The 15,668-nt window shown below is 42.5% G+C and overlaps 1 protein-coding gene and 1 pseudogene across 1 annotated transcript in view, besides 1 other annotated feature; one reads left to right on the top strand and one right to left on the bottom strand.

The window, feature by feature from the left end:
* The window catches only part of CYP4X1 (cytochrome P450 family 4 subfamily X member 1), a 94,069-nt gene that overhangs the window by 56,879 nt on the left and 21,522 nt on the right, over positions 1-15,668 (bottom strand). The window lies entirely within an intron of this gene.
* Positions 4,052-4,162, top strand: CYP4A43P (cytochrome P450 family 4 subfamily A member 43, pseudogene; annotated as a pseudogene).
* Positions 14,390-15,197: an enhancer, noted in NCBI's record as "H3K27ac-H3K4me1 hESC enhancer chr1:47449029-47449836 (GRCh37/hg19 assembly coordinates)". NCBI's record gives its function as "activates a minimal SCP1, AML or CMV promoter by ChIP-STARR-seq in naive and primed H9 embryonic stem cells {active_cell/tissue: H9 hESC(naive and primed)}" and the evidence as "EXISTENCE:reporter gene assay evidence [ECO:0000049][PMID:30033119]".

The following is a 15,668-nucleotide window of genomic DNA, read 5'->3' as shown; positions in this document are numbered from 1 at the left end:
AAAAATCAACAGAGTAAACAGACAACCTACAGGAGGGGAGAAAATATTTGCAAACTATGCATGTGAAAAAGGACTAATTTTTAGAATCTATAGGAAACTTAAAAAGCTCAAAAAGAAAAAACTAATAACTCTATTTACAAATGGGCAAATCAGGAATTTGAGACCAGCCTAGGCAACACAGGGAGACCCTGTCTCTACAAAAAGTAAAAAATTAAGCAGGTGTGATGGTGCACGCCTGTAGTTCCAGCTACTTGGGAAGCTAGAGCAGGAGGATCACTCGAGTCCAGGATGTCGAGGCTGCAGTGAGCTATGATCACACCATTGCACTCCAGTCTGGGTGACCTGGATGACAGAACAAGACTAGGTTTCTAAAAAACAAACAAACAGAAAAACCTACAAAAAACAAACAAAAAAACCTAATAAACCACTAATCTTCACTTTATGCATAATACTAAATCAAAACTGTATTAGCTCCTTATTTTTAATAAAAAACACCTCCTTTCAAAAATAAAAAAAATGATAAATGGACAAAGAACATGAACAGACCCTTCTCAAAAGGACATAAAAGTGGCCAGCAAAAATATGAAAAAATGCTCAACATCAATAATCACCAGAGGAATGCAAATTAAAACCACAGAGATACTATCTCAAGCTGGTCAGAATGGCCATATCACAGAGTCTAAAAATATCAAATGTTGGCAAAGATACGTAGAAAAGGGAACACTTATCCACTGTTAGAGGTAATGTAAATTAGTCCAACCCTATGGGAAACATTATAGAAATTTCTCAAAGAACTAGAAATAGAACTACCATTAAACGCAACAATCCCGCTGCTAGGTATCTATCCAAAGGAAAAGAAATCATTTTCTCGAAAAGACACATGTATGTTTACGGCAGCACTCTTCACAATAGTAAAGGCATTGAATCAACCTAAGAGTCCATCAACAGTGGACTGGATAAAGAAAATGCAGTATATATACGCCATAAAAAGAATGAAATCATGTTCTTCACAGCAAAATGGATGCAGCTGGAGGCCATTATCCTAAATGAAATAATTCCCCAGACAGAAAATCAAATACTGCATGCATGTTATTACTTGTAAGTGGGAGCTAAACAGTGGATACACATGAACATAAAGATGGAAACAATAGACACTGGAGGCTCCAAAAGTGGGATAAAGCAAGGAGGGCAAGGGTTGAAAAGCTACCTATTGGGTACTATGTTCACTATCTTGGTGATAGGTTCAGTAGAAGTCCAAACCCCGGTGTTACACAATATATCCATGTAACAAACATGTACATGTACCTCCTGAATCTATAATTTTAAAATATCTTTTGAATAAACTCCACAGGAAAAAGATGAATTCCTTAGTAAATAAATCACTTTAACATTTACAAAAAAAATACTTCTGCATGGGCTATTCAGTTTTTGTAAAGGAGTAGACATAAACAAGATATGTAAGATTGCATCAGCATCAAACTCAACTTTATCAAACCCCAGAAAACAAGTGCCTGGGCTCATCTACCCACAGGAGAAACTGCTTCAAAGTGCCACCACGGGGATCAACTGCCTCCCTCAGCCTTTGTTTTGCCTAAACGCTGAACAAGGAAGCTTTCAGCAACAAAAATACCAAGTTCCTTTTTACAGTGTGGCACCCAAAACTGATCTGAGTCTCTTCAGGATGGTGATGTAACCCATCCAAAATCTGACTCATTCCTACTCTCCCTCGTTTGTCCAATCAGCAGGTATTCCTTGGGCATCATAAACAGGCACAGGCCTCTGCTTCATACCATGGGAAGCAAAAGACATAGATGCTGAGTTACCACCTTCCAAGAGTTTCTGGTGGAAGTGTCTGGGTAACAAATGAATTGGAAAGATATTTAGTTGTTGATAAACCTTGACAATCACAAGGACAATTTTCTAAGATGGAAGCTCATACTCTACATACAGTTCTATATTCTGCTTTTATTACTTTGTTATACTCTTATTCATATCATTAAACATTCTCCATAAACATCATTTTCAATGACTATGTTACTCCTAGCCCCAAGTTTTGCCATTCACTTTCACACAGAAACCACCCCGAATAGAGAGGCTTGCTTGCATTTATGTCAATATGTGTAGTTGATAACCTGACACCTCATCCTGCTACTTGGAAACACTGGAAGAAACATGGCAAACATGAAATGTCACCTGGAATGTTTAGGAGCTGCCACCTGGCCTGGATGCTCAACCTAATCATTATCTCCTTTACATGGATGGTGAACAGCAAAGTCTCCTGAGCCAGACTGCCTGGGTTAGAATCCTGGCTGTACCTCTTACCAACAGGGGGACACTAGTGTTGCAGCTACCCTCTTCATGCCTTAGTTTCTATATGTACAATATCAGATTTCTTTTTAAGAAACAGTTTCGTAGAGTTGTTGTGATAGAAAGTATGTAAAGTTGTTTGTTCAATGCCTAGAACATAGCCAGTGCCCGCTACATGTTGTATATTACCACATTATGAACTCAACTGTTTTAAGAAATGAGTACCCAAAGACAGAAACAGCCAAAACCAGGTTTCACAGACAGGCACTATGACTCTACACCTCTTTCTGCTGCTGTATCTCAGGGGGTGAATAAAAACCAGGTGCTGAGCCCAGCATGAAAAGTGTCAGTGTCCGGATGATGTAGTGAGGAAAAGGAGCAACAGAACTAAACGAAAGGCAGCTGAAATGGGGTGTACGTTGTTGCATGGCCTTCTGCCGTTGGTTTTGGATGGCATCCAGGACTTAGAGGAGAATGAAAAGAACTCTGGCCCTATGAGTTTTATAATGAATTTCTTGTCACAAGGCAGGGGCACAAAGGGGAAAGTGATGGGAGTAAGACTTAAGGTGGGTGAAAGAGCAGGTCAGGAGGAAACTTGTGATCCCAGTGAGAGCTGGCTTCTAAAACTTCCGAGGAATTTTTCAAGAAATATCTGTTGTGTCTTACTCTCTGAACTCTGGACATTGAATTTGATCTTAGAGAAAATAAATCATGAAAAAAGTGAGAGTGCAGAACTTGAAGATAAAATGTCCCATCCCTTGCTCCTCTATCTGTGATCTCCATGATTTTCTCGGTGCTTGTCCCTCTACCTAGGACTCTCTACCCGGTTAACTCCTATTACTCTTCAAGACCTCATTCTTCCTTTTTAGATTTTTCCTTTCCTGGATGGATATTTCACTTCCCTAGTAAAGCCTTATGATATTTTATTGAACAGTTTTAGTTTTCTGCCTTTAGCCTCTAAATTATGAGCTCAAGAAACATTTGCTGAATGAAAGAATGACTTAAATCTATTAGGTACGTAGCATAAAGATTATGCTCCCACCTTACAACAGAAAAAATTGAGGCTCAGAGACTTTAAGTTTCTATCAACATATATAGTGAGCCTGAGGCTTGAGGCTCCTGAGTCCAAGTCCAGTGCTCCATCCACCAGCACCATCACCTTGGGCGATGACTGAAGGGTGGACAGGGCCAGCCCCAGGTAATATTTCAGAGGCACCTGGGACAGGGAGTATTGGAGTAGAGAAAGAGTCTAATCCATCTTTGACTCTCAGTGGGTGTTTTATTTTTAACAGAAGTTTCTACTCCTCTGTAATCATTTTCTCATTACTGAAATCCAGGTAATAATAAAAGCAGCCACATGTTTTGAACATTCAGTAAATTAGACTATAAATTCCTAAAGTCACAGTTCATTTCTGTTTCTATACAGCTGTGCCCCCCATCTGGCATACTGCCTGGCACATAGTAGGTGTTTGTTGAATATTTTTGAGTGATATGGACAGGGGAATGTGGGTGTGTGCATGGCCATTACTATGGACAGCTCACGAAGCTTTCCTCTTGCTATTTCCCCAGGTGGATCCTGCACAATCAATCAATTCTGGACACTGGGGTCCAAGATCTTCCTTCCCACTTTACCTTCCCCACAAGTAGACAGGGGATCTCACAGGACTTGTCAGAGGTGGTCAGGGATAGTCAGGGGCAGTCAGGGACTGACAGGGGCACTCAGTGATCCAGCAGGTGCTGCGGCATGAGTGTCTCTGTGCTGAACCCCAACAGACTCCCAGATGGTGTCTCAGGGCTCCTCCAAGGAGCCTCACTGCTGAGCCTGCTTCTGTTACTATTGAAGGCAGCCCAGCCCTAACTGCACAGGCACTGCCAGCACTAAGGGAATGGTGGGCATAAAGTATACTACAAGGCTACAGTAATCAAAACAGCATGGTACTGGTACCAAAACAGATATATAGACCAATGGAACAGAATAGAGCCCTCAGAAATAATACCATACATCTACAACCATCTGATCTTTGACAAACCTGACAAAAACAAGAAATGGGGAAAGGATTCCCTATTTAATAAATGGTGCTGGGAAAACTGGCTAGCCATATGTAGAAAGCTGAAACTGGATCCCTTCCTTACACCTGATACAAAAATTAATTCAAGGTGGATTAAAGACTTAAATGTTAGACCTGAAACCATAAAAACCCCAGAAGAAAACCTAGGCAATACCATTCAGGACATAGGCATGGGCAAGGACTTCATGTCTAAAACACGAAAAGCAATGGCAACAAAAGCCAAAATTGACAAATGGGATCTAATTAAACTAAAGAGCTTCTGCACAGCAAAAGAAACTACCATCAGAGTGAATAGGCCACCTAGAGAATGGGAGAAAATTTTTGCAATCTACTCATCTGACAAAGGGCTAATATCCAGAATCTACAAAGAACTCAAACAAATTTACAAGAAAAAAACAAACAACCCCATCAAAAAGTGGGCAAAGGATATGAACAGACACTTCTCAAAAGAAGACATTTATGCAGCCAAAAGACACACGAAAAAATGCTCATCACTGGCCATCAGAGAAATGCAAATCAAAACCGCAATGAGATACCATCTCACACCAGTTAGAATGGCAATCATTAAAAAGTCAGGAAACAACAGGTGCTGGAAAGGATGTGGAGAACTAGGAACACTTTTACACTGTTGGTGGGACTGTAAACTATTTCAACCATTGTGTAAGTCAGTGTGGTGATTCCTCAGGGATCTAGAACTAGAAATACCATTTGACGCAGCCATCCCATTACTGGGTATATACCCAAAGGATTATAAATCATGCTGCTATAAAGACACATGCATATGTATGTTTATTGTGGCACTATTCATAATAGCAAAGACTTGGAACCAACCTAAATGTCCAACAATGATAGACTGGATTAAGAAAATGTGGCACATCTACACCATGGAATACTATGCAGCCATAAAAAAGGATGAGTTCATGTCCTTTGTAGGGACATGGATGAAGCTGGAAACCATCATTCTCAGCAAACTATCACAAGGACAAAAAACCAAACACCGCATGTTCTCACTCATAGGTGGGAATTGAACAATGAGAACACATGGACACAGGAAGGGGAACATCACACACCGGGACCTGTTGTGGGGTGGGGGGAGGGGGGAGGGATAGCATTTGGAGATATACCCAATGTTAAATGACGAGTTAATGGGTGCAGCACACCAACATGGCACATGTATGCATATGTAACTAACCTGCACGTTGTGCACATGTACCCTAAAACTTAAAGTGTAATAAAAAAAGGAAGTCTATAATTATTTTTAGTGGAAAATCACAAATATTTAACAGAATGTGGGAAAATTGGAACTCTTACAAATTGCTGGTGAATATAAATTGGCATATCAATTTGGAAAACAGATCTGTGGTTCCTGAAAAAGAAAATCACAAGTGCCATAGGATCCAGAAATTCACACCTGGCTATATAACCAAAAGAATTGAAAACAGGGATTTGAACAGATACTTGTGAGCCAATGTTCATGGCACCATTATTCACAACAGATGTAAGATTGAAAGAACTCAAGTGTCCATTAACAGACAAATGGGTACACAGAATGTCCTATATACATACAATATTATTTCATCACAAACAGGAGTGAAGTTCTGATTCATACAACAGCAGGAATGACCTTGAGAACAGTATGCTAAGTGAAAATAGCCAGACATAAAAAGACAAATACTGTAATAAGTCCGCTTATAGGTAGAGGAATAGGCAAATTCATAGATCCAGAAAGTTGATTAGAAATAACCAGGGACTGGGGGAAGTCAGACTGGGGAAGTATTGCTTAATGGTTACAGAGTTTCTGTTGGAGTGAAGAAAATGTTTTGGAAATAGGTAGTAATGAGGTTTCTAAATCATCATGAATTTCATTAAAGCCATTGAACTGTACAATTTAAATTGGTTAAAGTGTCTATTTTTATATTCTTCAACCTCTGCCTCCCGGGTTCAAGTGATTCTCGTGCCTCAGCCTCCCAAGTAGCTGAGATTACAGGCGTGTGCCTTCGCACTCAGCTAATTTAATTTTTTAAAAAATTTTTAGTAGAGACAGGGTTTCACCATGTTGACCAGGCTGATCTTGAACTTCTGATCTCAGGTGATCTGCCCACCATGGCTTCCCAAAGTGCTGGGACTACAAGCGTTAGCCACCATGCCTGGCCTGAATTGAGTTTTCTTAATGACAGTCCTGGGAGTGGGGAGAGGAGCGGATGATAACGTCTGTTGAGTGGGATCTGTTTCATACCAGGCACTTTGTAAAGCCAGCTCATTTCATTTTCCCAACTCTTTATTAAGATTAAGATTATTGTCTCTATTTTGCAGAGGAGAATCAGATCTATAAGACTCCAAAGCCTCCTCCTTCCCACGCATCACAATGCCTCTAATGTGCTGAGAGGTGTGCCCTCCGAGTCGCCGGCCAGCGTATTCCTTTCCAACAGGCTTGTCCTCCTGTCACTCCCGAGGCTGCTTTAAGTTTGCTCTGCGCTTGCTTTGGCCCTCACATGGGGGAAGCCCAAGCCTCTTGGAACGCATCTGTGTCCTCTGCCTTAAGTGGATTTTCACCTACCCCTCCCAGTGGAGGCTTCTGAGGTAGAAAATACAGAGGTCAGATGATGGCCACTAAGTGTATACAGCTCCATGGATGATAATCAAACAAGGGTGCTTTAACTGCAGCAGGAGGAACTGGGATTAGCTCTGGGATAGGACTTCTGCCCAGTGAGAGATGCTAAGTTGTAGGAATGAGCTAGGGGAGGTAAGCGTGGAATTCCCTTTGAAAAGCCTGTAAGAACAAGCTAAATATTCAGCCGTCTGGGGCTTACTGTGGAGAATTAATGAGGCCCCTTGTGACAGCCCTGCTAAGCCTCCCTGGAAAACTACAAATCCATGATGTCAACTGGTCATTAAAATCCAGGCTCTCGTTTCTTGATAAAATTTAACGTAGGCCAGTAGGTGGCAATAAGTTAACAGAAATGAGGCCTTCTTTGAAGTGTAGGGCTTCTTTGAACCTTGAGAGAACGCATTAAAAGCAGTCTGGAAGGTTGCTTCTGGGAGCAAGAGGGGGAACATTTCTGTGAATCCAGTGCTGATTGAGGTGCAATTAGCAGATCCACTAACGGGATGCCTCTCCTGACTCTTTTTTTTTTTTTTTAAGTTCTGGGATACATGTGCAGAACGTGCAGGTTTGTTACATAGGTATACATGTGCCGTGGTGGTTTGCTGCACCCATCAACCCATCATCTACATTAGGTATTTCTCCTAATGCTATCCCTCTCCTAACCCCCCGCCCCCAACAGGCCCCAGTGTGTGATGTTCCCCTCCCTGTGTCCATGTGTTCTCATTGTTCAACTCCCACTTATGAGTGAGAACATGCGATGTTTGGTTTTCTGTTCTTGTGTTAGTTTGCTGAGGAAGATGGTTTCCAGCTTCATCCATGTCCCTGGGAAGGACATGAACTCATCCTTTTTTATGGCTGCATAGTATTCCATGGTATATATGTGCCACATCTTCTTTATCCAGTCTATCATTGATGGGCATTTGGGTTGGTCCTAAGTCTTTGCTATTGTGAACAGTGCCACAATAAACATACATGTGCATGTGTCTTTATAGTAGAATGATTTATAATCCTTTGGGTATATACCCAGTAATCGGATTGCTGGGTCAAATGGTATTTCTAGTTCTAGATCCCTGAGGAATCACCACATTGTCTTCCACAATGGTTGAACTAATTTACAGTCCCATCAACAATGTAAAAGCGTTCCTATTTCTCTGCATCGTCTCCAGTATCTGTTGCTTCCTGCCTTTTTAATGATCGCCATTCTAACTGGCTTGAGATGGTATCTCATTGTGGTTTTGATTTGCATTTCTCTAAGGGCCACTGATGATGAGCTTTTTTTCATATGTTTGTTGGCTGCATAAATGTCTTCTTTTGACAAATGTCTGTTCATATCCTTCACCCACTTTTTGGTGGGGTTGTTTGTTTTTTTCTTGTAAATTTGTTTATGTTCTTTGTAGATTCTGGATATTGGCCCTTTGTCAGATGGACAGATTGCAAAAATTTTCTCCCATTCTGTAGGATGCTTGTTCACTCTGATGATAGTTTCTTTTGCTGTGCAGAAGCTCTTTAGTTTAACTAGATTCCATTTGTCACTTTTGGCTTTTGTTGCCATTGCTTTTGGTGTTTTAGTCATGAGGCCTTTGCCCATGCCTATATCCTGAAAGCTATTGCCTAGGTTTTCTTCTAGAGTTTTTATGGTTTGGGGTTTTACATTTAAGTCTTTAATCCATCTTGCATTAATTTTTGTATAAAGTGTAAGGAAGGGATCCAGTTTCAGCTTTCTGCATATGGCTAGCCAGTTTTCCCAGCACCATTTATTAAGGGAATCCTTTCCCCATTTCTTGTTTTTGTCAGGTTTGTCAAAGATCAGATGGGTTGTAGATATGTGGTGTTATTTCTGAGGTCTCTATTCTGTTCCATTGGTCTATATATCTGTTTTGGTACCAGTACTATGCTGTTTTGGTTACTGTAGCCTTGTAGTACAGTTTGAAGTCAAATAGTGTGATGCCTCCAGCTTTGCTCTTTTTGCTTATGATTGTCTTGTCTATGTGGGCTCTTTTTTGGTTCCATATGAAATTTAAAGTAGCTTTTTCTAATTCTGTGAAGAAAGTCAATGGTAGCTTGATGGGGATAGTATTGAATCTATAAATTACTTTGGGCAGTATGTCCATTTTCATGATATTGATTCTTCCTATCCATGAGTATGGAATGTTCTTCCATTTGTTTGTGTTGTCTCTTATTTTGTTGAGCAGTGGTTTGTAGTTCTCCTTGAAGAGGTCCTTCACATCCCTTGTAAATTGGTATTCCTAGGTATTTTATTCTCTCTGTGGCAATTGTGAATGTGTGTTCACTCATGATTTGGCTCTCTGTTTGTCGATTATTGTTGTGTAGGAATGCTTGTGATTTTTGCACTTTGATTTTGTATCCTGAGACTTTGCTGAAGTTTCTTATCAGCTTAAGGAGATTTTGGACTGAGATGATGGGGTTTTCTAAATATACAATCATGTCATCTGCAAACAGAGACAATTTGACTTCCTCTCTTCCTGCTTGAATACCTTTTATTTCTTTCTTTTGCATGATTGCTCTGGCCAGAACTGCCAATACTATGTTGAATAGGAGTGGTGAGAGAGGGCATCCTTGTCTTGTGCCTGTTTTCCAAGGGAATGCTTCCAGCTTTTGCCCGTTTAGTATGATATTGGCGTGGATTTGTCATAAACAGCTCTTATTTTGAGATATGTTCCATTAATACCTAGTTTACTGAGAGTTTTTAGCATGAAGGGGTGTCAAATTTTATTGAAGGCCTTTTTCTGCATCTGTTGAGATAATCTATTGAGATAAATAATCATGCGGTTTCTGTCATTGGTTCTGTTTATGTGATGCATTATATTTATTGATTTGCATATGTTAAACCAACCTTGCATCTCAGGGAGGAAGCCAAATTGATCATGGTGGATAAGCTTTTTGATGTGCTGCTGGATTCGGTTTGCCAGTATTTTATTGAGGATTTTCCCATCGATGTTCCTCAGGGATATTGGCCTGAAATTTTCTTTTTTTGTTATGTCTCTGCCAGGTTTTGGTATTACGATGATACTGGCCTCATAAAAAGACTTAGCAAGGAGTCTCTCTTTTTCTATTGCTTGCAATAGTTTCAGAAGGAATGGTACCATTCCTGTTTGTACCTCTGGTAGAATTTGGCTGTGAATCCATCTTGTCCTGGACTTTTTTTATTGGTAGGCTATTAATTACTGCCTCAATTTCAGAACCTGTTATTGGTCCATTCAGGTATTTGACTTCTTCCTGGTTTAGACTTGGGAGGGGGTATGTGTCCAGGAATTTATCTATTTTTTCTATATTTTCTAGTTTATTTGTGTAGAGGTGTTTATAGTACTTTCTGATGGTAGTTTGTATTTCTGTGGGATCAGTGGTGATATCTCCTTTATCATTTTTTATTGCATCTATTTGATTCTTCTCTCTTTTCTTCTTTATTAGTCTGGCTAGTGGTCTACATATTTTGTTGATCTTTTCAAAAACCCAGCTCCTGGATTCATCAATTTTTGAAGGGGTTTTTTATGTCTCTTATCTCCTTCAGTTCTGCTCTGATCTTAGTTATTTCTTGCCTTCTGCTAGCTTTTGAGTATGTTTGCTCTTGCTTCTCTAGTTCTTTTAATTGTGAAGTTAGAGTGTCAATTTTAGATCTTTTCTACTTTCTCTTGTGGGCATTTAGTGCTATAAATTTCCCTCTGAACATTGCTTTAGCTGTGTCCCAGTGATTCTGGTATGTTTTGTGTTTGTTCTCCTTGGTTTGAAAGAGCTTTTTTGTTTCTGCCTCAATTTTGTTATGTACCCAGTAGTCATTCAGGAGCAGTTTTTTCAATTTCCATGTAGTTATGTGGTTTTGAGTGAGATTCTTAATCCTGAGGTCTAATTTGATTGCACTGTGGTCTGAGAGACTGTTTGTTATGATTTCTGTTCTTTTGCATTTGCTGAGGAGTGTTTTATTTCCAATTATGTGGTCAATTTTAGAATAAGTGCAATGTGGTGCTGAGAAGAATGTATATTCTGCTGATTTGGAGTGGAGAGTTCTGTCGATGTCTATTAGGTCTGCTTGGTGCAGAGCTGAGTTCAAGTCCTGAATATCCTTGCTAATTTTCTGTCTAGTTGATCTGTCTAATATTGATGGTGGGGTGTTAAAGTCTCTCACTATTATTGTATGGGAGTCTAAGTCTCTTTATAGGTCTCTAAGAACTTGCTTTATGAATCTGGGTGCTCCTGTATTGGGTGCATATATATTTAGGATAGTTAACTCTTCTTAATGCATTGATCCCTTTGCCATTATGTAATGCCTTTCTTTGTATCTTTTGATCTTTGTTGGTTTAAAGTCTGTTTTATCAGAGACTAGGATTGTGACCCCTGCTTTTTATTTTTTCTTTCCATTTGCTTGGTAAATATTCCTCCATCCCTTTATTTATTTTGAGCCTACGTGTGTCTTTGCATGTATGATGGGTCTCCTGAATACAGCACACCAATGGATCTTGACTCTTTATCCAATTTGCCAGTCTGTGTCTTTTGATTGGGCATTTAGCCCATTTACATTTAAGATTAATATTGTTAGTGTGAATTTGATCTTTTCATTATGATGCTAGCTGGTTATTTTGCTCATTAGTTGATGCAGTTTCTTCATAGTATCAATTGTCTTTACAATTTGGTATATTTTTGCAGTGGCTGGTACTGGTTTTTTTTTCCATGTTTAGTGCTTCCTTTAGGAGCTCTTGTCAGGCAGGCCTGGTGGTGACAAAATCTCTCAGCATTTGCTTGTCTGTAAATAATTTTATTTCTCCTTCACTTATGAAGCTTAGCTTGGTTGGAGATGAAAGAAAAGAAATTCTTTTCTTTAAGAATGTTGAATATTGGCCCCCACTTTCTTCTAGCTTGTAGGATTTCTGCAGAGAGATCCACTGTTAGTCTGTTGGGTTTCCCTTTGTGGGTAACCCGACCTTTCTCTCTAGCTGCCCTTAACATTTTTTCCTTCATTTCAACCTTGGTGAGTCTGACAATTATATGTCTTGGGGGTGCTCTTCTCGAGGAGTATCTTTGTGGTGTTCTCTGTTTTTTCTGAATTTTAATGTTAGCCTGTCTTGCTAGGTTGGGGAAGTTCTCCTGGATAATATCCTGAAGAGTGTTTTCCAGCTGGGTTCCATTCTCTCTGTCACTTTCAGGTACACCAATCAAACATAGGTTTGGTCTTTTCACATAGTCTGATATCTCTTGGACACTTTGCTCATTTCTTTTCATTCTTTTTTCTCTAATCTTGTCTTCACGCTTTATTTCATTAAGAGATTTTTAAGAGATTGATCTTCAGTCTCTGATATCTTTTCTTTCATTTGATTGATTCAACTATTGATACTTGTATATGCTTCATGAAGTTCTTTTGCTGTTTTTCAGCTCCATCAGGTCATTTACATTCTTCTCTAAACTGGTTATTCTAGTTAGCAATTCATCTAACCTTTTTTCAAGGTTCTTGACTTTCTTGCATTGGGTTAGAACAAGCTCCTTTAGCTCGGAGGAGTTTGTTATTACCCACCTCCTGAAGCCTGCTTCTCTCAATTCATCAAGCTCATTCTCCATCCAGTTTTGTTCCCTTGCTGGTGAGGAGTTGTGATCATTTGGAGGGGAAGAGGCATTCTGATTTTTGGAATTTCCAGCCTTTTTGTGCTGGTTTCTCCCTATCTTCATGGACTTATCTACCTTTAGTCTTTGATGTTGGTGATCTTCGGATGGAGTTTCTGTGTGGACAACATCCTTTTTGATGTTGATGCTCTTCCTTTCTGTTTATTTGTTTTCCTTCTAACAGTAAAGCGTCTCTGCTGCAGGTCTGCTGGAGTTTGCTGGGGGTCCACTCCAGACCCTGTTTGCCTGGGTATCACCAGTGGGGGCTGCAGAACAGCAAAGATTGATGGCCCTGTTTCTTCCTCTGGAAGCTTCATCCCAGAGGGGCACCCACCAGATGCCAGCCGGAGCTCTCCTGTATGAAGTGTCTGTCAGCCTCTGCTGGGAGATGTCTCCCAATCAGGAGACATGGGGATCAGGGACCCAGTTGAGGAGGCAGTCTAACCCTTAGCAGAGCTCGAACGCTGTGCTGGGAGATCCACTGCTCTCTTCAGAGCCAGGAGGCAGGGACGTTTATGTCTGCTGAAGCTGTGCCCACAGCCACCCCTTCCCCCAGGTGCTTTCTCCCAGGGAGATGGGGGTTTTACCTATAAGCCCCTTACTGGGGCTGCTGCCTTTTTTATCTATTTATTTTTTTTGAGATAGACTCTTGCTCTGTCACCCAGGCTGGAGTGCAGTGGCATGATCTCGGCTCACTGCAAGCTCTGCCTCCCAGGTTTATGCCATTCTCCTGCCTCAGCTTCCCGAGTAGCTGGGACTACAGGCTGCTGCCTTTTTTTCAGAGATGCCCTGGCCAAAGAGGAGGAATCTAGAGAGGCAGTCTGGCTACAGTGGCTTTGCTGAGCTGTGGAGGGCTCTGCCCAGTTGGAACTTCCCTGCTGCTTAGTTTACACTGTGAGGGGAAAACCACCTACTCAAGCCTTAGTAATGGCAGATACGCCTCTCCCCACCAAGCTTGAGCATCCCAGGTTGACCTCAGACTCCTGTGCTGGCAGCGAGAATTTCAAGTCAGTGGATCTCAGCTTGCTGGGCTCCGTGGGGGTGGGATCCACTGACCTAGACCACTTGGCTCTCTGGCTTTAGCCCCCTTTCCAGGGGAGTGAACAATTCTGTCTCACTGGCATTTCAGGCATCACTGGGGTATGAAAAAAACTCCTGCAGCTATCTTCATGTCTGTCCAAATGTCCACCCACTTTTGTGCTTGAAACCCAGGGTCCTGGTGGCATAGGCACCCCAGGGAATCTCCTGGTCTGTAGGTTGCGAAGACCGTGGGAAAAGCGTAGTATCTGGGCTGGAATGCACTGTTCCTCAAGGCACAGCCCCCCATGGCTTCCCTTGGCTAGGGGAGGGAGTTCCCTGACCCCTTGCGCTTCCCAGGTGAGATGACACCCCATCCTGCTTCAGCTTGCCTTCTGTGGGCTGCACCCACTGTCTAACTAGTCCCAGTGAGATGAGCCAGGTATCTCAGTTGGAAATGCAGAAACCACCCACATTCTGCATTGATCTCCCAGGGAGCTGCAGGACAGAGCTCTTCCTATTCAGTCATCTTGCCAGCCTCTCCTGGTTTTTTTTTTTTTTTTTTTTTTTTTAAAGGCAGAGCAGGGAGGAGTTAAACACTAGTTCTTCAGTGGGATCATCCCAGAGGACACATTGGGATTCATCAAGAAGAAATGCAACCCACAGAGAGAAGAGTGAGACAAGACAACTGCTCACTGGGGATTGGTGCAAGGGAGACTCCCCACTGGGGAAACAGTGAGTGAGCAAGAGCCCCCAGGACTCACATTTCTGCCTTAGACGTTTGCAAACCTGGGCTCAGGAAATTCCACACACCCTCCCCGCCCTCCCCCACCAACTTTCTCTCCCCTGGGCCTCCAGACTGACACCAGAGCTGCTCGGCAGAGCTGCTGCTCAGGCCCACATGGAGCCCCAAGGGCCTTGTACTCCTGAGCACTCCTGCACCAGCTGCTGTAGCTCTGCCAACAAGGGAGGCCTGGCTCTCTTGCATGCCCTCAGGATAGGGGCTGTACCAATGATGCTGAGGGGTGAACAGACTGCAGGCATAGCATCCACTATACCTTGCCAAATAAAGCCCACTGACCTGGGACCCCAGTGAAGCCACCCCACTCCCCACCACAGCACTCGGACCAGTGGCAGCTCTGTATTATCTGGGCTGGAGCTCCCAGAGGTAATGGACATGCCCACCATTTTTGCCACTGCTGTAGCTCCCACCTCTACTGCCCTCAGGCTGGGAGGAAGCAAGAAGCCTAAGGACTATCACGGGCCTTGAGAACACTGCAACTGCCTTACAGAAATGTGCCCAGACTGTTTTCCATGCACGTCCCTGCCTCTGCTACTCATCACTGGGCAGGTTTTCCCGACCTGGGTCTCCAGCACAGCCGCCCTGCCCCCACCTGAGCACTTCAGTCAGTGGCGGCTCTGCATTTCTGTAGGGAGGAAATCCCAGAGACAATCCACAGGCTCTCTGCCATTGCAGCTGCAGTGGAACTGCCCTTGCTGTCCTCTGGCTGGGAAAGAAACAAAGACCCTGATCATTTTGCTGGCAACTCTAACATGGCACAATGGCTAGATGAAAAGGAGCCCAGTCTCTCTTCCCTGTGAGCTCCCAATTCCCTGCTCTTCACCAGATATGGCCTTGGCTAGCATCCACAATGCAGCCACCCCATCCCCTGCTGAATGCTTCCATAGGCACCGGCTCTATGTCTCTCTGTGGTGGAGTTGCCAGAGGCAACAGACATGCCCTCTGCCACTGCAGCAATACCCACCCTTGCTGCCACCAGGCTGGGGAAGGAACAAAGAGCCTGAGTGCTTTACTTGCACTTCCAGCACACCATAGCCACCCTATAGAGAAAAGGCCAGACGGCCTTTCCCACAAGCTCCCCACCCCACCACGTGTCCCCAGGCAGGGCCCCCAGGCTTGGACCTGCAACACAACCACCCCACCTTGGGCTGATCATTCTGATTGGCAGCAGCTATGCAATTCTGTAGGATGAAGCCCCAGAGACCAGTTAAAAGTCCTTTGCCATTGCCACTGCCAACGTCCCCATCACTGCTGTCCCCAA

The sequence above is a fragment of the Homo sapiens genome, chromosome 1 (genome assembly GCF_000001405.40).
Source record: "Homo sapiens chromosome 1, GRCh38.p14 Primary Assembly".
In the NCBI taxonomy this organism is placed as follows: domain Eukaryota; kingdom Metazoa; phylum Chordata; class Mammalia; order Primates; family Hominidae; genus Homo; species Homo sapiens.
Note: the sequence above shows the minus strand (reverse complement) of the source record. Positions and strands in the feature narration are given on the sequence as shown.